Source organism: Homo sapiens, chromosome X (assembly GCF_000001405.40).
Source record: "Homo sapiens chromosome X, GRCh38.p14 Primary Assembly".
Taxonomy (NCBI): Eukaryota; Metazoa; Chordata; class Mammalia; order Primates; family Hominidae; genus Homo; species Homo sapiens.
This window is the reverse complement of record NC_000023.11, coordinates 51261814-51285993: the sequence shown is the minus strand read 5'-3', so window position 1 is coordinate 51285993 and position 24180 is coordinate 51261814. Positions and strand designations below refer to the sequence as shown.

General features: G+C 38.9%; 1 long non-coding RNA gene across 1 annotated transcript in view, besides 2 other annotated features; it reads left to right on the top strand.

The window, feature by feature from the left end:
• Positions 1–24180, top strand: part of LOC105373204 (uncharacterized) — a 175604-nt gene that overhangs the window by 110593 nt on the left and 40831 nt on the right. The gene's annotated exons all lie outside the window — the stretch shown is intronic.
• Positions 6071–6622: an enhancer, noted in NCBI's record as "H3K27ac hESC enhancer chrX:51022229-51022780 (GRCh37/hg19 assembly coordinates)". NCBI's record gives its function as "activates a minimal SCP1, AML or CMV promoter by ChIP-STARR-seq in naive H9 embryonic stem cells {active_cell/tissue: H9 hESC(naive)}" and the evidence as "EXISTENCE:reporter gene assay evidence [ECO:0000049][PMID:30033119]".
• Positions 23559–24060: an enhancer, noted in NCBI's record as "H3K4me1 hESC enhancer chrX:51004797-51005298 (GRCh37/hg19 assembly coordinates)". NCBI's record gives its function as "activates a minimal SCP1, AML or CMV promoter by ChIP-STARR-seq in naive H9 embryonic stem cells {active_cell/tissue: H9 hESC(naive)}" and the evidence as "EXISTENCE:reporter gene assay evidence [ECO:0000049][PMID:30033119]".

Sequence of the window (24180 nt, the reverse complement as noted above, 5' to 3'; positions counted from 1 at the left end):
AGGGGAGGAGGCTAGAGTCATTCGTGTAACAATGGGTTAGAGTTGGAGATATCAATATGAACTTATGTTTAGCCTAATATAGATACAGATAATTTTATATAAAATATTTATAGATATTGGTATATACGTGGGTTAGTAGCCACACATATATTTTTTTCTGTTTGCTGAGGCCTTAAAGAAATGACACTAAAGTAGAAAAGAGCACACCTAGCACCCAGCTCTTGTTTTCTAATACTATTTTCCAATAAAAGGAATCAGGGCTCCTTTGAGAAATGGATGATTCTAGGACTGGTGCGGTATATATATATGATGAGCATGGAACATTTTGTGGAACCAGAAAATAAGGGAATGCTATTATACAAGCAAAACAACAAACAAAAAAGTCTACCACATAGATGGGGGTTTGTTAAAGAAGCATAGGAACCAACTGAAAGAGCTCCCAATGACAAAAGCTATAACAATTTGAACAACAAAATAAAGTAACATTAGATTATAATGCAATGTGTAAAGTAAATACCCAGGAGTCTATACTGATATAAATAAATGATTGAATGAATGAAGAGAAGGGAAAAATCTCCCATGTAGAAGATTTCCAAATAATTTATGTAGATAAAGAGAAGGAACATAACTCCCCAGTTCTTAAGTGTGAAGTATGGGATGCACATTGTCACTTCCTTCAAAGAGTACGATATAGAAATGGGGGAGTTTTACAGTGGAGAAACCTGACAAATACTATCTCAGCAAGGTCATCAAGGCCAACATCAATAATCATAAATCATATGAATAGTATGTATCATCGATATGATGTGATTAACATGCCACTTTACCTTTATGGCTTTCTCTCAGTTACCCACAACCTGGTATTATCATGAGATCATCATCAAACTCTAATCATAAGGAATCTTACAAAATAACTGACCATTACTCCTCGAAACTGTGAAGGCTATCAAAACAAGCAAAGTCTGAGAAATTACCACAGACAAGAGGAACCTAAAAAGACATGACAACCAAAAATAATGTGGTATTCTAGAACAAAAAAAGAACATTAGGTTAAAAAATAAGGAAATATAAATAAACTATGGACTTAATTAATCATAATGTATTTATATTGGTTCATTAACTGTGACAAATGAAACATGCCAATAAAGGATTTTAAAGATAAGGGAAAGTGTGTGTAAGGTGCATGGAAATTCCGCTATCTTCTCAATTTTTCTGTAAACCTAGAGCCCTTCTAAAATATACAGTATAATAAAAATACAACTTTTTTATAGTTTGTGGGGTGCTGTGAAAGTAGTAGAGGGAAATTATAACATGAAATCTGTGTTTCAGGAAAGAATAAATATCTACATTCAAAATCTAGGCTTTTACCTTAGAAAAGTTAATAAAATAAAATAAAATGAATAATTTGAGCCTAAAGCAAGTAGAATTGAAGAAATAATTAAAAATGGAGCAGAAATCAATGAAATTGAAAACAGAAAGATAATAAGAAAAAAAGACACCAAAACCTGTTTTTTTAAAAATGCAAATAAAAGTGATAAGCCTCTATCTAACCAAGAAAGTAGAAAAACAAATTGCCAATACCAGAAATGAAAGAGGGGTTATAACTACTGAGTCCATGGTCACTAAAATGATATTAAAAAGATACTGTAAATAACTCTGTGCCAACAAATTTGATACCTTAGATGTAGTAGATGGAATTCCTAAAGATCTCAAAAAACTTATAAGCAAGTATAGCCAAGTCTGTCACATTATTTATTTTCCATTTGTTTATTCTAGTTCTTGTTCTTTGTTCTTTGAAATTTCCTTTTTACCTTTGTGTGGGTAATTTGAACAGTTTTTAGAATTTCTTCTTGATTTATTCTTAGTGTTTTGAGCATATCCCATGGTATAGTTTTCCTAGTGGTCGCCGTTGGCATTAAAATGTACATGTGACTTGGCCAGGCGCAGTGGCTCATGCCTCTAATCCCAGCACTTTGAGAGGCCTAGGTGGATGGATCACTTAAGGTCAGGAGTTCGACAGCAGCCTGGCCAACATGGTGAAACCCAATCTCTACTAAAGATACAAAAATTAGCCGGGTTTGGTGGCACATGCCTATAATCCCAGCTACTTGGGAGGCTGAGGCAGGAGAATCGCTTGAACTCGGGAGGCAGAGGTTGCAGTAAGCTGAGATCCCGCCACTGCACTGCAGCCTGGGCAACAGAGTGAGACTCTGTCTTAAAAAAAAATGTACATGTGACTTATCCCAGCCAAGTAGTATCAAAGTTTGACCACTTTGGGTGGGATGTGTAAGCCTCACTTCCATTTATGCTTTACTCACTTTAAAATACCATTGTCTTGAGCACCAGATGGTGTTATAATTTTTGTTTCAATCATATTATCAGCTAAAGTAATAAGTAAAGGATATACTGTTGTATATACTCATATTTGTGCTCTTTTTATCATTCCTTCTTTCTTCCTCATCCTCCACTATTCTTTTTTTTTTTTTATCATTTCCTATCTTTTTGAATAATTTCCTTTAGCCAGTTTTTAAGGATAGGTCTGCTACCAACAAATGCTTATGGTTTTCTGTCATCTGAGGTTGTCTTCATTTCTCTTTTATTCTTTTTGTTTTACCTTTTAAAAAATTTATATATATTAGTTGTACATATTTTGAGGTACATGTGATACTTTGATGCCTGTTTACAATGTGTAATGATCAAGTCAGGGTAATTGGGATATACATCATCTAAACCATTTATCTTTCCTTTGTGTTGGGATTGTTTCACCAGATACAGAATTCATGATTAAGAGCTCATTTCTTTTAGCACTTGAAAAACGTAGCACTTCCTTCTAGCCTCCATGTTTTCCAATGAAAATTCATCTGTTATTCAAATTGGTATATTACCCCACAGTTATGCATCATGGGCAATGACATGTAGGTAATATGTCATTTTCTCTCTGGCAGCTTTGAAGATTTTTTTCTTTGTGTTTAAATTTCAGAAGTTTAATTATAATGTTCTCTGGCATAGATTTCCTTTCATTTATCTATTGGTTGTTCACTCAGTTTCTTGAATTCATAGGTTTGTATCTTTCACAAAATTTGAGATGTTTTCATTCATTACTTTCTTTAATATTCCCTCCCACAATCTCTCTACTCTCTTTCCAGAACTTGTATGATACAAAAGTTCTCTCTTGTGTTATTGTCCCACAGGCCCATGAAACTCTTCATTTTTCTCAGTCCATTTTATTTTCATTGTTCAAATTGAGTAAATTCTATTGATTTGTCCTCAAGTTTATTGATTCTATTTGCTCTCATCTCTACTTTACTATTAAGTCCATCTAGAAAGTTTTTCTTTAGCTTCAATTGTTATAATTTTCAATTCTACAATTTCTTCTGGTTCTTTTTTATGACTTTCATTTGCTGGGATTTTTTTTTTTCATTTTAAAAGAGAATCTATACAATGTCTGCCTTAAAATCTTTTTCAGATAATTCCAACTTATGATTTATGTTGGTATTGGCTTCTGTTTATTGTCTTTTCTCATTCATATTGTGAATTTACTGGTTCTTAATGTGACAAGTGATTTTTAAAAATTGAATCATGGACATTTTTATTACTATGTTAGGGGACTAATGATCTTACCTAAATCTTCTATTGTAATGGAGTCACCTTGTTTTGGTTTAGCATGTAAGTTCTGGCCTACTTTTCCGGGCTTTCATTGTAATGAAAAGTTTTATGAGTCCTCGAAATGATATTCTGGTGTGATTCCGGCTTCTGCTGCTGCCAAGGCTCCTAACCAATCCATGCTGGTGACTTCTGCATGAGTAGGAGGCACACACCTGTGCTATCTTCTGTCACTGGATGACCTTCTATACGTGGGAGGGTGGACAGAGGTGACAACTAGCTGTGATTTGTGCCACCTAATTTAGTCTCATAATGAGTCTCATTATGAGTCTCATTATGAGACTAAATGAGGGTACAAATGAGTTGTGAGTTTGGTGATTCACCTACTTCCTGGGCCTCACTGATATCAGGGATGGAGTGAAAGGGAATGCTTACCAGCTCTGACTTGTACTGTCTTATTAAGTCTCATTGATGCACGTAGGGGTAGAAACTCCTCTGTCTGCTGAGGAATTTCTACCCACTGACACTGTAAGGGAGAAATTGTGAAACCTAGCGATGACTAGCTCCACTTTTCACTACCTTGTTAAGTCACATTGCTGTTGGGTGAAGGTGGAGGTTCAGCTTGCTACTGGACCCTGCTGACTCCTCCCTGACAGGAGAATTAGAGTACCACTTTTTTTCTACCGGATAGGGAACAGAAGATCAGCTACCCACTCTACCTCACTACACTACATGGGCAGGAAGATAGGAGCATCATCTGCTTCTTCCCAGCGGGACATACAAAATAAGGTTTTCACTGTGTCGCACTAACACTGTCCAAGTAGGGAAATCAGATCATCACTAACTGCTTCCACTGGGCAGATAATAAAAGATAAGCCCCTTTTTGGCCCTGTTAACACAGCTGAGTGGGGAATTAGAACACTGACATCTGATTCTGTGGGGATGGAGGTGGGATGAAATAGAAGATCAACTTATTTCTCAGTCTCACTGAAACCACAGGCAGAGGTGGTGGTTTGGTGGGGTATGGTTTTTCCATTGGCGTTTACCTGGAGTAGAGTGGGAATTGCCAGAAAGTTTGATATTATTAGGCCATCGTTTCTGGTCCTTTGCCTAGGGAAAACAGTCTTTTCTTGGAGCTTTATTTGTATCTGTTGGCAGTTCTAGGTTGCAGGCTTCTGCAGCACTCTGTACTGGACATATGTAAGGAAATAAGGAAACCCAGGGAATTCATTTCTGTGTTGTTCTTTGAGTTCTAAACTCCCTGTGCTGTTTATCATCTTTCCACTATTCTGAGTCTTCCAGACTTGTTTTTTTTTGTTATGTCCAGGGTCTTTTAGTTATAAGAGAAAGGGGTTCCTCTGTCTTAGCCAAATTCAGTGTATTTAACTTTTTTATTTATTTATTTATTTATTTATTTACTTTTTATTGATCATTCTTGGGTGTTTCTCACAGAGGGGGATTTGGCAGGGTCATAGGACAATAGTGGAGGGAAGGTGAGCAGATAAACAAGTGAACAAAGGTCTCTGGTTTTCCTAGGCAGAGGACCCTGCGGCCTTCCGCAGTGTTTGTGTCCCTGGGTACTTGAGATTAGGGAGTGGTGACGACTCTTAACGAGCATGCTGCCTTCAAGCATCTGTTTAACAAAGCACATCTTGCACCGCCCTTAATCCATTTAACCCTGAGTGGACACAGCACATGTTTCAGAGAGCACAGGGTTGGGGGTAAGGTCACAGATCAACAGGATCCCAAGGCAGAAGAATTTTTCTTAGTATAGAACAAAATGAAAAGTCTCCCATGTCTACTTCTTTCTACACAGACACGGCAACCATCCGATTTCTCAATCTTTTCCCCACCTTTCCCCCGTTTCTATTCCACAAAGCCGCGATTGTCATCCTGGCCCGTTCTCAATGAGCTGTTGGGCACACCTCCCAGACGGGGTGGCTGGCCGGGCGGGGGGCTGACCCCCCTACCTCCCTCCCGGACGGGGCGGCTGGCCGGGCAGAGGGGCTCCTCACTTCCCAGTAGGGGCTGCTGGGCAGAGGCGCCCCTCACCTCCCGGACGGGGTGGCTGGCCGGGCGGGGGGCTGACCCCCCCACCTCCCTCCCAGACGGGGCGGCTGGCCGGGCAGGGGGGTGACCCCCCCACCTCCCTCCCGGATGGGGCGGCTGGCTGGGCGGGGGCTGACCCCCCCACCTCCCTCCCGGACGGGGTGGCTGCCGGGCGGAGACGCTCCTCACTTCCCAGACGGGGTGGCTGTCGGGCGGAGAGGCTCCTCACTTCTCAGACGGGGCGGCTGCTGGGCAGAGGGGCTCCTCACTTCTCAGACGGGGCGGTTGCCAGGCAGAGGGTCTCCTCACTTCTCAGACGGGGTGGCCAGGCAGAGACGCTCCTCACCTCCCAGACGGGGTCGCGGCCGGGCAGAGGCGCTCCTCACATCCCAGACGGGGCGGCAGGGCAGAGGCACTCCCCACATCTCAGACGATGGGCAGCCCGACTCTTCACTTCCTAGATGGGATGGCGGCCGGGAAGAGGCGCTCCTCACTTCCTAGATGGGATGGCGGCCGGACGGAGACGCTCCTCACTTCCCAGACTGGGCAGCCAGTCAGAGGGGCTCCTCACATCCCAGACGATGGGCGGCCAGGCAGAGACGCTCCTCACTTTCCAGACAGGGTGGCGGCCGGGCAGAGGATGCAATCTCGGCACTTTGGGAGGCCAAGGAAGGCGGCTGGGAGGTGGAGGTTGTAGCGAGCCGAGATCATGCCACTGCACTCCAGCCAGGGCACCATTGAGCACTGAGTGAAGGAGACTCCGTCTGCAATCCCAGCACCTCGGGAGGCCAAGGCTGGCGGATCACTCGCGGTCAGGAGCTGGAGACCGGCCAGGCCAACACAGCGAAACCCCGTCTCCACCAAAAAAAATACGAAAACCAGTCAGGCGTGTCAGCGCGTGCCTGCAATCGCAGGCACTAGGCAGGCTGAGGCAGGAGAATCAGGCAGGGAGGTTGCAGTGAGCCGAGATGGCAGCAGTACAGTCCAGCTTCGGCTCGGCATGAGAGGGAGACCGTGGAAACAGAGGGAGAGGGAGACCGTGGGGAGACGGGAGAGGGAGAGGGAGACTGTGGGGAGACGGGGGAGACCGTGGGGAGACGGGAGAGGGAGAGGGAGAGCTGGATTTCAAAGCTTCATCCATGCTGAGCTGCAAGGGGAATGGACAGAACTGGAAACTGGGGCAGACTGGAGTTGCCAGCCTAGGCTGGGCTGTGAGCTCCATGGAGCAGATGCCGGGCCATCCTGCCCCGGCTCCTATTTAACTTTCTAAAACAAATGTAATTTGTAGTTTTGAAAGTCAGGATAGTGACTACTCTTGAGGGAATAGTAACTGGTAAGGGGCATGAGGAGGTGGTTCAGGAGTGATGGTAAAGTACTGTTTCTTGATATGGGCAATGATTATACAGGTTTGTTCAATTTATGAGAGTTTATTTAACTTCATTCTTATGATTTATACACTTTTAAACATAGATGCCGTTTTTCAATGAAAAGTTTTAATGATGATGATGTAGGTATATTATTTGAAGTAAAATTATATGTACTTCCTATTATCAAGCTAAAATAACAGTTTACAAAGTATATGGCATTTCTACACATTTAAAAAAGATATTTATGATTGTGTTTATATATATGTGTGTCATACATAGAGAAAAGTATGAAGGGTACGCTACAAAATGTTGGCAGTGGTCATCTCTGATCAGTGGCACTTTAGGTTTTTTCTCTTCCTAATATATTTTATTATGTTCTGAATTTATTGCCATGGGCAGGAAATGCTTATTTTTTATTTCTCTTATTTTTAAATGAGATTGAATTTGTAAGCTAACAATGTTTTATCATAGTGGTAGAATATACTGTGTTTTCAATAAAGACTGGCTAAATTAATGAGTTTATGCCTCACTCACACATTCAAAGAATATATCAAATGCCCACTATGTGTCATACACTCTGGTTTCAGAAATAAATTAGAGTCCTTGCTCTCAAGAAGATTACTGTATACAAAAATTCAACTTCTTTTGCTATGTTTTTATGCAAATTTAACCTATAGTTGTATAGAAATCTAATATGATTGTTTTATTGAGATATAATTCACACACCAAAATATTGACTCTGCTAAAGGGTACAATTCAGTGCATTTCAGTATTTTCACAATGTTGTTCAAACATCACCATTGTTTAATTCCAAAACATTTTTATCACCCTGGAAAGATACTCTATGCCCGTTAGGAGTCACTCCCCATTCCAATCCCCAGACCTTGACAACTATTGTTCTACTTTCTGCCTCTATGAATTTGCTTATTCTAGACATTTTATATAAATGGAATTGTACATTATATGTCCCTTTGAGTTTGACTTCTTTTATTTAGCATATTGTTTAAAAGGGCCATCTATAGTGTAGCATGCATTAAGGGGAGTACTTCATTCCTTTTTATGGCACAATCATGTTCCATTGTATGGTAATAAAGACTGCCCATTTTTGATGTTTCAGCTTTAAAGCATAAACCCTCCTCTTTTCCCTTCTGCCTCAAATCTGGGAAAGTTGATAGGAAAGCCTGGGTGCTCCCTTCTGTGATACTGGAGGGAAGTTCAAACTATACATAGGAACCCTCACCTTGACCCTATCCTCTAAACACCAGTTTCCTTCCCTGCATTCTCAAGCCATTTTCAGACCTGCTTGGGAGCCACACTGCTGTCTCAAGCAAGCCTCATATGCATAGTAAACTTTTTCATACCCTGTTGGTATGAAATATCCTCTTGGTTGGTATGTAGTTTCTGCAGACCAAATTTTGGGTGAAGATCTATCTACCTCTGCAAGGGTCCACAAGTGATGCAGTAAGGAGGATGTCTAGATTATGACCACCATCTTGGGGATCTTTATTGTCTTTCTTTGACTTGCTAACTGGGTCTTCTGCCTGAAAACCAGCAGGCACTTAAGAGCCACTACTTGCAGGCTAGCACAATCTTTGAGCTGAGCTTCTTTGTGCTACATTTGCTGAGTTGTACTGAAGCCTCCTTTATAGATTTAATATACCTAAGTCTGAGTTTAGATAATTCACAGGAGTATGGGACTGGTATCTTCCTTAATGTGGCCCTGTGTCATGTGCCTTGGCTCAGGTTAACTGTGTCTTAGAATGAATAACGTGTTTTAATTTCAGCATAAGCTCTTAATGACTCTAGGCTGAGGGAACCACCTGGGCCCTGTGACAGATTAATTGTATGTCTCAACCAGCATTACCCCCCATTGTATAGAGTGCTCAGGGGAAAGACTTATATCCTCTGTGATATATTGAGCTATTGAATGATGGCTTATGAATGAGAAATCATTAGAAAGTGAAAAAGCAGCCAATAGAGGGGAAAAACCAGTCATATGTGACATGTGGAGGTCCACACTCCTAAAAGCAGGTGGCTCACTAGGATCCTTCAAAATGCCTTTGCTTCTACTGCCTATGCCTCTGTCATAAGAATGATACTGATCTTGAGGGTTATAGGGAGAAACACCCATGGCAACTGTATGGCATACCAAGGGGTTAATTCAAATCTGACTGAAGTCCAGGGTCCTTAAACCCTATAAAACCACCATTGCTGTGGGGGAGGCTAACCCTAATAATACTGATTTGAGGTTCTCTAGAGGAAGTAATTCATAAAGATAAATAGGGTAGAGAGAACTCTCCTTCTTCCAAAGGATATCCGATAATCACCCACGGGGGGCGGGGGGTCGGGGGCAGGGAAGAGAGAGAGAGAGAGAGAAAGAGAAAAGTAAAAGAAAACTGGACATAGGGGGAGGCAAAAGAAAAAAAAACCTGAAATGGCCATAATTTGACACAATTGGGAATACATTTACCTAATTTATAAAACAAAAAGATAAAAGGGGGCTGATTTGACTTATACACTTTACAACATAGGTTCTGAATAAATTTAACAACTGCTTATTTGCACCAATTAGCAAATCTTTGTGTCATCAATACTGTGGCCCAAATGGCTGCTACTATGCTTGGGGATCTCTCGAAATTTAAACAAGGTATATCTCATAGCCTTAGGGAAGTGACTGAACATAAAATAAAAGACAGATAGCAATGCCTCATCTTACCCATTGTAACTGTTACCTTGCTTAATTACCCATATGTAATGGTTAATACTGAGTGACAACTTGACTGGATTGAAGGATGCAAAGTATTGATCCTGGGTGTGTCTGTGAGGGTGTTGCCAAAGGAGATTAACATTTGAGTCAGTGGACTGGGAAAGGCAAACCCACCCTTAATCTGGGTGGGCACCATCTAATCAGCTGCCAGCTTGACTAAAATATAAAGCAGGCAGAAAAATGTGAAAAGACTAGACTGGCTTAGCCTCCCAGCCTACATCTTTCTCCTGTGCTGGATGCTTCCTGCCCTCAAACATCAGACTCTAAGTTATTCAGCTTTGGGATTCAGACTGGCTTCCTTGCTCCTCAGCTTGCAGACCACCTATTGTGGGACCTTGTGATCATGTGATTTCTACTTAATAAACTCCCCTTTATATATATATTTTATATATAGTATTTATTTATATATATTTTATATATATTTATTTATATATATTTTATATATATATTTATATATATTTTATATATATATTTATATATATTTTATATATATATTTATATATATTTTATATATATATTTATATATATTTTATATATATATTTATTTATATATATTTTATATATATATTTATTTATATATATTTTATATATATATTTATTTATATATATTTTATATATATATTTATTTATATATATTTATATATGGGTTCTAGAGGAACAGAACTAATAGGATATATATTATTAATATGTATTATTAATTATATTAATTAATATATATTAATAATATATATCCTATATATAAGATATATATGTTTTAGGTCAGAGCGCCCATGCCCACTATGAAGTATTTTAGGTAATGGGTAATTTGTCTCTCTAGAGTACCCTAATACACCATGTGTAATAGCACCCATTACCTATATAATATATATATATTAGTTTTGTCTCTCTAGAGTACCCTAATACACCATGTGTAATAGCACCCATTACCTAAAATACTTCACAGTGGGCATGGATGCTCTGACCTAAAGAGTAATAAATTAAAATTAAGTCAAGTCTTTGGCACTTACAATTCAGCTTAAAATATTGGTTCCCATGAACCTTCCCTCTAGTCAATTCATCCCAATGTATGTTAAAATAGGGCCTTCAAGGATTGAGACCTGTTGTACAAGATCTATTTTTTTAAATGAGGTAGCTGTACATTTAATGAGAAAAAACTGTAGCCAAGACTTAATTTTAAGTGAAAGTTAAGTTTACGATTGATAAACATCTTGTAATTCTACTAACACATTCATAAATATATTATGTTTTGGTATATGGTTAAGTCTACACACTAATTTGTTTTACTTCTGCATCGTCCTGGTTATCTATTGCTGCATAAACAACTGCAAGACCTATTTATAGAATAGGTGATTATCTCCACTGTTTCTTCACTTAACAATCCGATCTGGCCTGTTATTAAACTTGGAAAGAATGAATGGCACTTCACCCTGAATTATCATCACTCTTTAATGCTGTAGTCCCACTGATTAAGGCCCCCGTAACTAATATGTTTAAGATTATTGACTCCATCCAATCAGCAACTGGTTAATATTTTGTTGTTGTAGATTTGACTAATATGTTCTGTTCAGTGCCTATTTCAACAGCGTCTCAGCCCATTTGCCTTCACCTCCAAAAACACACAATGGATATCCTACCCTATCCATGGGATATCCAAACAGCTTTGCCATCGAAAACAATTTGCGTGTGTGTGTGTGTGTGTGTGTGTGTGTGTGTGTGTGTGTGTAACATGAAATAGAAAATATATAATTATAATTAAAATAAAATTTTATAGCTATAAATACAAAATAGAAAAATAGATGTATATACACACATATATATACATGTTTACGTATACATACACAAATATACATATATGCATATATATACATGCATCTTCATACACATACACACACACATATACATATACACACAGTGTGAGAATGAGGAAGAGAGAGGTAAATCTGTTTTAAGAAATTGGCTCACATGAATACGAGGCTGGCAAACCCCAAATCTGCAGGGCAGGGCAGCGGGCTGGAAACTCAGGCAAGTTTTCATGTTGCAATTTTGAGGTAGAACTGCTTATTTTTTGGAAACCCTCAGGTGTTGCTCTTAAGGGCTTCTACTGATTGGATGAAGCCCATTCACATTATGAAGGATAATCTGGTTCACATAAAGTCAGCTGATTGTAAATGCTAATTACATCTACAAATAAATTCACAGCAGCTTCTAGACTAGTGTTTGACCAAATAACTGAGCACTATAGCCTAGTCAAACTGCCACATAAAATTAACCATCAGAGCGCCCTATAACAAAAGGCTCTAGAATCTGCAAAAATCACAATACTATAGGCACTGTTGTTAGTGCCCCCCAGGAACTCCTTCACTGTAGAGACTTTAAGCAACCTCCTCTCATGTGTCTTGGAGTCTCAGGACCACCCATGATGGCCATAAGTTGCCCATGGGTGACTAACGCAAGAAACTACCCTCCTAAGCCCCATGCTATATCCCAGAGTGGCAGTTGCTGGCAGCATACAAGTGTCTCCTGAAAATAGAGGCTCTCTCGGGTGCTGAACCAGTGACTTCCTGTACTTAGCTGCCTATTATTTGTTGGATTGTGAAAGCAATATCCTGAAAACTCATTATTCCACCAAGATTTCCTTATTACAGAATGGAGTCAAACCTGAAATCTCTGGCATGTCCTACCTGCAGGCAGTGATAGCCTTCCCTGTCCTTAGTCCTTTGCCAGATGCCATGGTGCTTGAGGAGGTCACCCTTTTTCTGGCCCATTTGGATACCTGGTTGCCATTAACCGAGCATATAGCAAGAAGATTTCATACATTTTATGGATTGCATTAACACCATTGCAAGTGACGGAGGTCAGTGGAGTGTTGCTGCTTTTTATCCCTTTACTGTGGCACCCCTGATAAAAGATGAGACCTAGTGGTCAACAAAATTGGCTGAACCCTATCTGTACATTTCTACAGATGCTTGAGTCATTGCCAGTAGTCTCGACAGCTGGTCTGGCTAATGACAGCAACAGCAATTCCCAATAATTGTTTATCTCAAGATACCCAAAATACAAATAATTGTTACATATATTTCTGTCCACAAGAAAGCCACAATGCAAAGTTTCACCAAGACACTTATTATCCCCTTCAGAGGTACAGAAATCACTGGTAGTAACCAAGGCATTAAAATTACTTTTCAAAACACACAGTGCTGGCCTGTTGAGCATGGAATTCAATGAAACGTTCACCTCCCTTACCAGCCTCAGACTGCAGTCCTCATAGAGTGTCATAATGGCTTATTTAAATTCAAGTTCAATTCAATACAAAATGGCACATTTCAGTCACAAGTCAAGTTAGAAGGGGAAACAAAATAAAATTTAATAAAAGTCTGACGTCATTTTTGTAAAAAGAGAGCATTTAATATAAAGAATTGTTAAATTGATATGGATGAATTAAGAATGCATAAAGAGAATACTAAAGTATCATGGAGGTAACAATTACAAGAATCTGCTATTACCTCTGGGACTGGAAGAACAAAATGGGGAGGTTAGAATAAATAAAACTTAGAGGCTTACAGGAGGAGCCCCACAGATTTGCAACTGAGACCTCTGAGAAGGGGGTACTGACTGGCTGGTGCTAGTGTCTCTGATGGTGCAATAAGCTGATTCAATGAGTGTTAGAAAAACTGCAAACTGAAATCAGTTGCTGTCCCCGAAATGAGTGGCCTGACAACTCTGGGTTTTACTGACAGCAACAGGAAGCAGTCAAGAAGGAGCAGGTCCTGTCTTCCTTCAGCTTCCAGTCTCTCTCCAACACTCCCTATTGACAAAGCTTAACAAGGAACCATTGGCATCAACAGAAAAACGGTTTTCTGAATCTGAGGCCCAGCATCTCAAAGCAGAGAACAGAAGGGTAGATTTGGAGCTGAAGGAGAATAGCTTAATTACTGGCTCTTAATAATTACTACCTATTAAGTTTACTTTTTAATTCTGACTCCATTTTTGGATGTTTGACTGCCGACAGCTTTAACCACACTTCTTTTTCCCCTCCTGCTCCACACACATCTGGGCTTGCTGACAAGAGTCTGTGCCTTCTTCTCTTTGGTGATGGCAAGAAGTTCAAACCATGCCCTGGAATCCTCACCCAGTCCCTACCCTCTAACCAGCATAGAAACCCCAAGCCAGTCTTTTATCCCTGCTCTCTCATGTCATTTTCAAACCTTCTTGATAGTCACTCTGCTTTCCCCAAGAAAGTTAAATTATGTGAATAATAAATCATTCTATATTCTCCTGATGCATGTGTGGTGTCACCACTCACAACATCTAAACCAAATTTTGAGTGAAGATCCATCTGGTGCTTCAGAGCATCCACAAGAGTACAGAGATAACACATTTTGTTTATCCTTTCATCAGCTAATGGACATTTAGGTTGTTTCACCAGTTGACTATCATGAATAAGGCTGCTATAAACATTCATGTACAAGTTTTCATGTGGACATACGCCTTCAGTTTTCTTGAGTATAAATCTAGGAGTGGAATTGCTGGGTCATATGGCAACTCTATGTTTAACTTTTGAGGAACAGCTAAGCTGTTTTTCCGAAGTGCCTGCAGCAGTTTTCATTCCCACCAGGAATGTATGAGGGTTCTAATTTCTTGACCTCCTTACCAACGTTTGTTACTGTCTGACTTTTAAATTATAGCCCTCTTACTGGATGTGAAATAGTACTTTTTGTTATTTTGATTTTCATTTGCATAATTATTAAAAATAGCATCTCTCCATGTGCTTATTTGACATTTGTATAACTTTGTTGGAAACCTGCCTATTCAGATGTTTTGCCCATTTTTAATTGGGTTATTTGTATTTTTATTATTTAGTTGTAAGGGATCTTTATTCTGGATACTAGATCATTATTGGATATATAACTTGCAAATATTTTCATATTTTGTAAGTTATCTTTTCACTTTCTTAATAGTGTCCTTTAAAGCCAAAACATTTTCAATTTTGATGACTTTCAATTTAATTATCTTTTTCTTTTGTTACTTGTGCTTTTGGTGTCATATCTAAGAAATTATGGTTTAATTCAAGGTCATGAAGATTTCAACCTGTTTTCTTCTAAGAGTTTTACAGTTTTACCTCTTATATTTAAGTCTTTGATCCATTTGAGTTTTTAAAATATAGTGTGGAGTAGAAGTCTAATTTTATTCCTTTGCATGTGGGTGTTCCAGAAGTATTTGTTGAAAAGACAACATTAACATTAGCACCCTTGTCAAAAATCAATTGACCAGAAATGTGAGGGTTTCTTGTTGGACTTTAATTTTATTCCACTGATCTATATGTATATCTGTAGTCCAGAACTTCATAGTCTTGATTACAGTACCTTTGGGGTAAGATTTGAAATTGAGAAGTGTGTGTCCTTCAAGTTTGTTCTTCATATTTAAGATCCTTTTGGGTATTCAAGTTTCATTAATATTGAATACCAAGTACTTGGATATTCAATTCCATAGGGACTTCAGAATCAGCTTCTCAGTCTCTGCAAAATCTCAGCTGGAATTTGGTATGTATTGTGTCAAATCTGTAGATAAATTTGGGGAGTATTGGCATCTAAAAATACTGTCTCAAAATCCACAAACATGGAACGTCATTTCATTTATTTAGGTTTTATTTAATATCTTTCAATTAAGTTTTGTGGTTTTCAGTGTGTAAACCTTACACTTCCCATGCTACATTTATTCTTAAGTATTTTATTCTTTGTGAGTCTATTATATATGGAATTGTCTTTTATTATTATTTTCAAACTTTTCATTCCTACTGGATGGAAAAACAACCATTTTTTGTGTGTGTATTGACCTCCTGTCCTGCAATCTTGCTGAACTCTTTTATTGGCTCTAATAGTTTTTGTGTGAATTTTTTAGTATTATTTCTATAAAATGTCATGTCATCTGCATACATGTATAATTATAATTATATAATTTATATATGTAGATACCTTTTTCTCCCATGCCTAATTTCTCCAGTTAGAACCTCCAGTATAACAGAATAGGGGTCACAAAGGCAGACATCCTTGTCACGTTCCTCATCTTAGGGGAAGATTTTCAGTCTTTTTGCAAAAACATGTTGTTTTCTGTGGGTTTTTCACAGGTGACCAGAGAACATACTTTATATGAGTGCAGTATTTTTTATATTATTGGGACTTGTTTTGTTGTCTAACATATGATCTATCCTGGAGAATGTTCCCTGTGCACTTGAGAACAATGTGTATTCTTCTGTTTTTGAGTAGAGTATTTCCTAGATGTCTGTTACATCTAGTTTGTTTTTTAGTGTTATTCATATCTTCTATTTCCTTGTTGATCTTCCATCTAGTTGTTCTATTCATTATTGAAAGTAGAGTATTGAAGTATTCACTATTATTTTTAAACTGTCTATTTATCTCTTAAATTCTGTCAGTTTTTCTTCATGTATTCCGGGGCTCTGCTATATGATGCTTATATGCTTATAATTGTTATAGGTTCTTGATAAATTGATAATTTTATCTTTATAAAATGTTTTTCATTGCTGTTAGTAACATTTTTGTTTTAAAGTCGGTTTTATCTTTTATTAGCATAGGCACTCCAGTTCCCTTTGGCTACTATTGGAATGGTATATCTTTTTCTATCCTTATAGTATCCACTTCTTTTTGTCTTTGAAGAACTTGAAGAGACAAACCTCTTTAGGCTTTCTTTAATACCTTTAATATCAAGTTTGTTCTTTAGGTTTAAGATCCTTTTTGGTATTCAAGGTCCCTTAAATATCCGTAGGGATTTTAGAATCACCTTGTCAGTCTCTGCAAAATCCCAGCTGAAATTTGATATGAATTTGGCAGAATAAAGTGTGTCTCTTGTAGATGGAATGTAATTGGAAAATATTTTTTAAGTCATTCTGCCAGCTCTGCCTGTAAACTGGAGTGCTTAATTCATTTATATTGCATGTAATTTCCGATAAGGTAAAATTTATGTCTGCTTCTTTTGCCATTTTTTAATATCTTATGTTTTTATTTCCCTTTATTGCTCCATTACTGCCTTCTTTAGTGTTATTTTCTAACTTACCATTTAAATTCACTTGTCATTTGTTTTACTATATTTTAAAACTTAATTTCTTAGTAATTGCTCTGGTAATTAAAATTAACAAATTAAAAATTTATGGCATTGTAGTTTGTTAATATCAATAAAATTACAATGGTTTACAAGGACATTGTTTCTATATTGCTCCATTCTCTTCACCCTCCTTTGGTCTGTTATTATCATTCAAATTACATCTTAACAAACTGTATGCGGATCAACACAGATTTATAATTATTGCTCTGTGCAGTTGTCTTTCAAATTAGATAGGAGAAAAGAGAATTATAATAAAAATATATTTATACTGTGTTTTACATTATACTACATATATTTCTTTTATTATTCTTGTAGGTTAAGTTTGCTAGCAACATTTCTTCCCATTTTTCTTTATATGAGAGTGTCTTAATTTCTCCTTTATTTTTCAAGGATAGTTTTGCTGGCTATAGGATTCTTATTTGATATTATTTTTCTTTCAGAACTTTTAATATGTCATTAAAAGTGACATATGTTATGATATATTAAAAGTCTATTCTCCATGGTTTGTGGTAAGAAATCAGCTAGTATTTTTATTGAGGATTCCTTGTACATGATGCGTTGCTACTCTCCTGCTGCTTTCAAGAGTCTGTTTTTGTCTTTGACTTTCAACAGTTTCATTATGATGTGACTAACTGATACCTTTGATTGATCCTACTTGGAGGTTTTTGAGCTTCATAGATGTGTAGGTTGATTTCTTTCATCAAATTTGGGAAGTTTTGGCAATTTTTTCTTCAAATGTTGTTTCTGTCCCTGTGTTTCTCTGCTATGATTTTTCCATTAAGCTTATGTTGATGTGCTGGATAGTGTAGACGGTTCTGGTCATTTTTTTCTCATTCTGGTTTTTTTTCTTTCTGGTTCTTGGACTGGATAATTTCAAGTTTGCTGATTCTTCTGCCTGCCCAAATCTGCTGTTGTACTTCTCTAGTAAATTTTTTTTATTATTATTATACTTTAAGTTTTAGGGTACATGTGCACAATGTGCAGGTTAGTTACATATGTATACATGTGACATGCTGGTGCGCTGCACCCACTAACTCATCATCTAGCATTAGGTATATCTCCCAATGGTATCCCTCCCCCCTCCCCCCACCCCACAACAGTACCCAGAGTGTGATGTTCCCCTTCCTGTGTCCATGTGTTCTCATTGTTCAATTCCCACCTATGAGTGAGAATATGCGGTGTTTGGTTTTTTGTTCTTGCGATAGTTTACTGAGAATGATGATTTCCAATTTCATCCATGTCCCTACAAAGGACATGAACTTATCATTTTTTGTGGCTGCATAGTATTCCATGGTGTATATGTGCCACATTTTCTTAATCCAGTCTATCATTGTTGGACATGTGGGTTGGTTCCAAGTCTTTGCTATTGTGAATAGTGCCGCAATAAACATACTTGTGCATGTGTCTTTATAGCAGCATGATTTATAATCCTTTGGGTATATACCCAGTAATGGGATGGCTGGGTCAAATGGCATTTCAAGTTCTAGATCCCTGAGGAATCGCCACACTGACTTCCACATGGTTGAACTAGTTTAGAGTCCCACCAACAGTGTAAAAGTGTTCCTATTTCTCCACATCCTCTCCAGCATCTGTTGTTTCCTGACTTTTTAATGATTGCCATTCTAACTGGTGTGAGATGGTATCTCATTGTGGTTTTGATTTGCATTTCTCTGATGGCCAGTGATGGTGAGCATTTTTTCATGTGTTTTTTGGCTGCATAAATGTCTTCTTTTGAGGAGTGTCTGTTCATGTCCTTCACCCACTTTTTGATGAGGTTGTTTTTTTCTTGTAAATTTGTTTGAGTTCATTGTAGATTCTGGATATTAGCCCTTTGTCAGATGAGTAGGTTGCGAAAATTTTCTCCCATTTTGTAGGTTGCCTGTTCACTCTGATGGTAGTTTCTTTTGCTGTGCAGAAGTTCTTTAGTTTAATTAGATCCCATTTGTCAATTTTGTCTTTTGTTGCCATTGCTTTTGGTGTTTTAGACATGAAGCCCTTGCCCGTGCCTATGTCCTGAATGGTAATGCCTAGGTTTTCTTCTAGGGTTTTTATGGTTTTAGGTCTAACATTTAAGTCTTTAATCCATCTTGAATTGATTTTTGTATAAGGTGTAAGGAAGGGATCCAGTTTCAGCTTTCTACATATGGCTAGCCAGTTTTCCCAGCACCATTTATTAAATAGGGAATCCTTTCCCCATTGCTTGTTTTTCTCAGGTTTGTCAAAGATCAGATAGTTGTAGATATGCGGCATTATTTCTGAGGGCTCTGTTCTGTTCCATTGATCTATATCTCTGTTTTGGTACCAGTACCATGCTGTTTTGGTTACTGTAGCCTTGTAGTATAGTTTGAAGTCAGGTAGCATGATGCCTCCAGCTTTGTTCTTTTGGCTTAGGATTGACTTGGCTATGCGGGCTCTTTTTTGGTTCCATATGAACTTTAAAGTAGTTTTTTCCAATTCTGTGAAGAAAGGCATTGGTAGCTTGATGGGGATGGCATTGAATCTATAAGTTACCTTGGGCAGTATGGCCATTTTCACGATATTGATTCTTCCTACCCATGAGCATGGAATGTTCTTCCATTTGTTTGTATCCTCTTTAATTTCATTGAGCAGTGGTTTGTAGTTCTCCTTGAAGAGGTCCTTCACGTCCCTTGTAAGTTGGATTCCTAGGTATTTGATTCTCTTTGAAGCAATTGTGAATGGGAGTTCACTCATGATTTGGCTCTCTGTTTGTCTGTTATTGGTGTATAAGAATGCTTGTGATTTTTGTACATTGATTTTGTATCCTGAGACTTTGCTGAAGTTGCTTATCAGCTTAAGGAGATTTTGGGCTGAGACAATGGGGTTTTCTAGATATACAATCATGTCATCTGCAAACAGGGACAATTTGACTTCCTCTTTTCCTAATTGAATACCCTTTATTTCCTTCTCCTGCCTAATTGCCCTGGCCAGAACTTCCAACACTATGTTGAATAGGAGTGGTGAGAGAGGGCATCCCTGTCTTGTGCCAGTTTTCAAAGGGAATGCTTCCAGTTTTTGCCCATTCAGTATGATATTGGCTGTGGGTTTGTCATAGATAGCTCTTATTATTTTGAGATACGTCCCATCAATACCTAATTTATTGAGAGTTTTTAGCATGAAGCGTTGTTGAATTTTGTCAAAGGCCTTTTCTGCATCTATTGAGATAATCATGTGGTTTTTGTCTTTGGTTCTGTTTATATGCTGGATTACATTTATTGATTTGTGTATATTGAACCAGCCTTGCATCCCAGGGATGAAGCCCATTTGATCATGGTGGATAAGCTTTTTGATGTGCTGCTGGATTTGGTTTGCCAGTATTTTATTGAAGATTTTTGCATCAGTGTTCATCAAGGATATTGGTCTAAAATTCTCTTTTTTAGTTGTGTCTCTGCCCGGCTTTGGTATCAGAATGATGCTGGCCTCATAAAATGAGTTAGGGAGGATTCCCTCTTTTTCTATTGATTGGAATAGTTTCAGAAGGAATGGTACCAGTTCCTCCTTGTACCTCTGGTAGAATTTGGCTGTGAATCCATCTGGTCCTGGACTCTTTTTGGTTGGTAAGCTATTCATTATTGCCACAATTTCAGCTCCTGTTAGTGGTCTATTCAGAGATTCAACTTCTTCCTGGTTTAGTCTTGGGAGAGTGTATGTGTCAAGGAATTTATCCATTTCCTCTAGATTTTCTAGTTTATTTGCATAGAGGTGTTTATAGTATTCTCTGATGGTAGTTTGTATTTCTGTGGGATTGGTGGTGATATCCCCTTTATCATTTTTTATTGCATCTATTTGATTCTTATCTCTTTTTTTCTTTATTAGTCTTGCTAGCGGTCTATGAATTTTGTTGATCCTTTCAAAAAACCAGCTCCTGGATTCATAAATTTTTTGAAGGGTTTTTTGTGTCTGTATTTCCTTCAGTTCTGCTCTGATTTTAGTTATTTCTTGCCTTCTGCTAGCTTTTGAATGTGTTTGCTCTTGCTTTTCTAGTTCTTTTAATTGTGATGTTAGGGTGTGAATCTTGGATCTTTCCTGCTTTCTCTTGTGGGCATTTACTGCTATGAATTTCCCTCTACACACTGCTTTGAATGTATCCCAGAGATTCTGGTATGTTGTGTCTGTGTTCTCATTGGTTTCAAAGAACATCTTTATTTCTGCCTTCATTTCGTTATGTACCCAGTAGTCATTCAGGAGCAGATTGTTCAGTTTCCACGTAGTTGAGCAGTTTTGAGTGAGTTTCTTAATCCTGAGTTCTAGTTTGATTGCACCGTGGTCTGAGAGATAGTTAGTTATAATTTCTGTTCTTTTACATTTGCTGAGGAGAGCTTTACTTCCAACTATGTGGAAGTAATTTTGGAATAGATGTGGTGTGGTGCTGAAAAAAATGTATATTCTGTTGATTTGGGGTGGAGAGTTCTGTAGATGTCTATTAGGTCCGCTTGGTGCACAGCTGAGTTCAATTCCTGGGTATCCTTGTTAACTTTCTGTCTCGTTGATCTGTCTAATGTTGACAGTGGGGTGTTAAAGTCTCCCATTATTAATGTGTGGGAGTCTAAGTCTCTTTGTAGGTCACTCAGGACTTGCTTTATGAATCTGGGTGCTCCTGTATTGGGTGCATATATATTTAGGATAGTTAGCTCTTCTTGTTGAATTGATCCCTTTACCATTATGTAATGGCCTTCTTTGTCTCTTTTGATCTTTGTTGGTTGAAAGTCTGTTTTATCAGAGACTAGGATTGCAACCCCTGCCTTTTTTTGTTTTCCATTTGCTTGGTAGATCTTCCTCCATCCTTTTATTTTGAGCCTGTGTGTGTCTCTGCATGTGAGATCGGTTTCCTGAATACAACACACTGATGGGTCTTGACTCTTTATCCAATTTGCCAGTCTGTGTCTTTTAATTGGAGCATTTAGTCCATTTACATTTAAAGTTAATATTGTTATGTGTGAATTTGAACCTGTCATTATGAAGTTAGCTGGTTATTTTGCTCGTTAGTTGATGCAGTTTCTTCCTAGTCTCGATGGCCTTTACATTTTGGCATGATTTTGCAGTGGCTGGTACCGGTTGTTCCTTTCCATGTTTAGTGCTTCCTTCAGGAGCTCTTTTAGGGCAGGCCTGGTGGTGACAAAATCTCTCAGCATTTGCTTGTCTGTAAAGGATTTTATTTCTCCTTCACTTATGAAGCTTACTTTGGCTGGATATGAAATTCTGGGTTGAAAATTCTTTTCTTTAAGAATGTTGAATATTGGCCCCCACTCTCTTCTGGCTTGTAGAGTTTCTGCTGAGAGATCCACTGTTAGTCTGATGGGCTTCCCTTTGTGGGTAACCCGACCTTTCTCTCTGGCTGCCCTTAACATTTTTTCCTTCATTTCCACTTCGGTGAATCTGACAATTATGTGTCTTGGAGTTGCTCTTCTCGAGGAGTATCTTTGTGGTGTTCTCTGTATTTCCTGAATCTGAACGTTGGCCTGCCTTGCTAGATTGGGGAAGTTCTCCTGGATAATATCCTGCAGAGTGTTTTCCAACTTGGTTCTATTCTCCCCATCACTTTCAGGTACACCAATCAGACATAGATTTGGTCTTTTCACAATCTCCCATATTTCTTGGAGGCTTTGTTCATTTCTTTTTATCTTTTTTTCTCTAAACTTCCCTTCTTGCTTCATTTCATTCATTTCAACTTCCATCACTGATACCCTTTCTTCCAGTTTATCACATCGGCTCCTGAGGCTTCTGCATTCTTCACTTAGTTCTCGTGCCTTGGCTTTCAGCTCCGTCAGATCCTTTAAGCACTTCTCTGTGTTGGTTATTCTAGTTATACATTCGTCTAAGTTTTTTTCAAAGTTTTTAACTTCTTTGCCTTTGGTTTGAATTTCCTCCTGTAGCTCGTAGTTTGATCATCTGAAGCCTTCTTCTCTCAACTTGTCAAAGTCATTCTCCGTCCAGCTTTGTTCCATTGCTGGTGAGGAACTGCGATCCTTTGGAGGAGGAGACGTGCTCTGCTTTTTAGAGTTTCCAATTTTTCTGCTCTGTTTTTTCCCCATCTTTGTGGTTTTATCTACTTTTGGTCTTTGATGATAGTGATGTACAGATGGGTTTTTGGTGTGGCTGTCCTTCTGTTTGTTAGTTTTCCTTCTAACAGACAGGACCCTCAGCTGCAGGTCTGTTGGAGTTTGCTAGAGGTCCACAGGTCCACTCCAGACCCTGGTTGCCTGGATACCAGCTTCAGTGGCTGCAGAACAGTGGTTTTTCGTGAACCACGAATGCTGCTGTCTGATCGTTCCTCTGGAATTTTTGTCTCAGAGGAGTACCCGGCAGTATGAGGTGTCAGTCTGCCCCTACTGGGGGGTGCCTCCCAGTTAGGCTGCTCAGGGGTCAGGGGTCAGGAACCCACTCGAGGAGGCAGTCTGCCTGTTCTCAGATCTCCAGCTGTGCGCTGGGAGAACCACTGCTCCCTTCAAAGCTGTCAGACAGGGACATTTAAGTCTGCAGAGGTTACTGCTGTCTTTTTGTTTGTCTGTGCCCTGCCCCCAGAGGTGGAGCCTACGGAGGCAGGCAGGCCTCCTTGAGCTGTGGTGGGCTCCACCCCGTTAGAGCTTTCCAGCTGCTTTGTTTACCAAAGCGCCCCTCCCCCAGCCTCGCTGTCACCTTGCAGTTTGATCTCAGACTGCTGTGCTAGCAATCAGCGAGACTCCGTGGGCATAGGACCCTCTGAGCCAGTTGCAGGATATAATCTCCTGGTGCGCCGTTTTTTAAGCCCGTCGGAAAAGCGCAGTATTGGGGTGGGAGTGACCCGATTTTCCAGGTGCCATCTGTCACCCCGTTCTTTGACTAGGAAAGGGAACTCCCTGACCCCTTGCGCTTCCCGAGTGAGGCAATGCCTTGCCCTGCTTTGGCTCACGCACAGTGCGCTGCACCCACTGACCTGCGCCCACTGTCTGGCACTCCCTAGTGAGATGAACCCAGTACCTCAGATGGAAATGCAGAAATCACCTTCTCTAGTAAATTTTTAAATTTTAGTTACTGTAATTTTCAACTTCAGAATTTATATTTGTTATTTTAAAATATAATTTCCATATCTTTATTGATAATGATTATTTGGTAATAAATCATTCCTATACTTTCCTTTGGTTTTTACAGACATGGTTTCCTTTACTTATTTGAATATATTTATAATAGCTTATTTGGAGTCTCTGTCTAATGAGACCAACATCTGGGTTTCAGGGATAGTCACTATTGGCTGCCTTTTTTCCTGTGTATGGCTGAGACTTT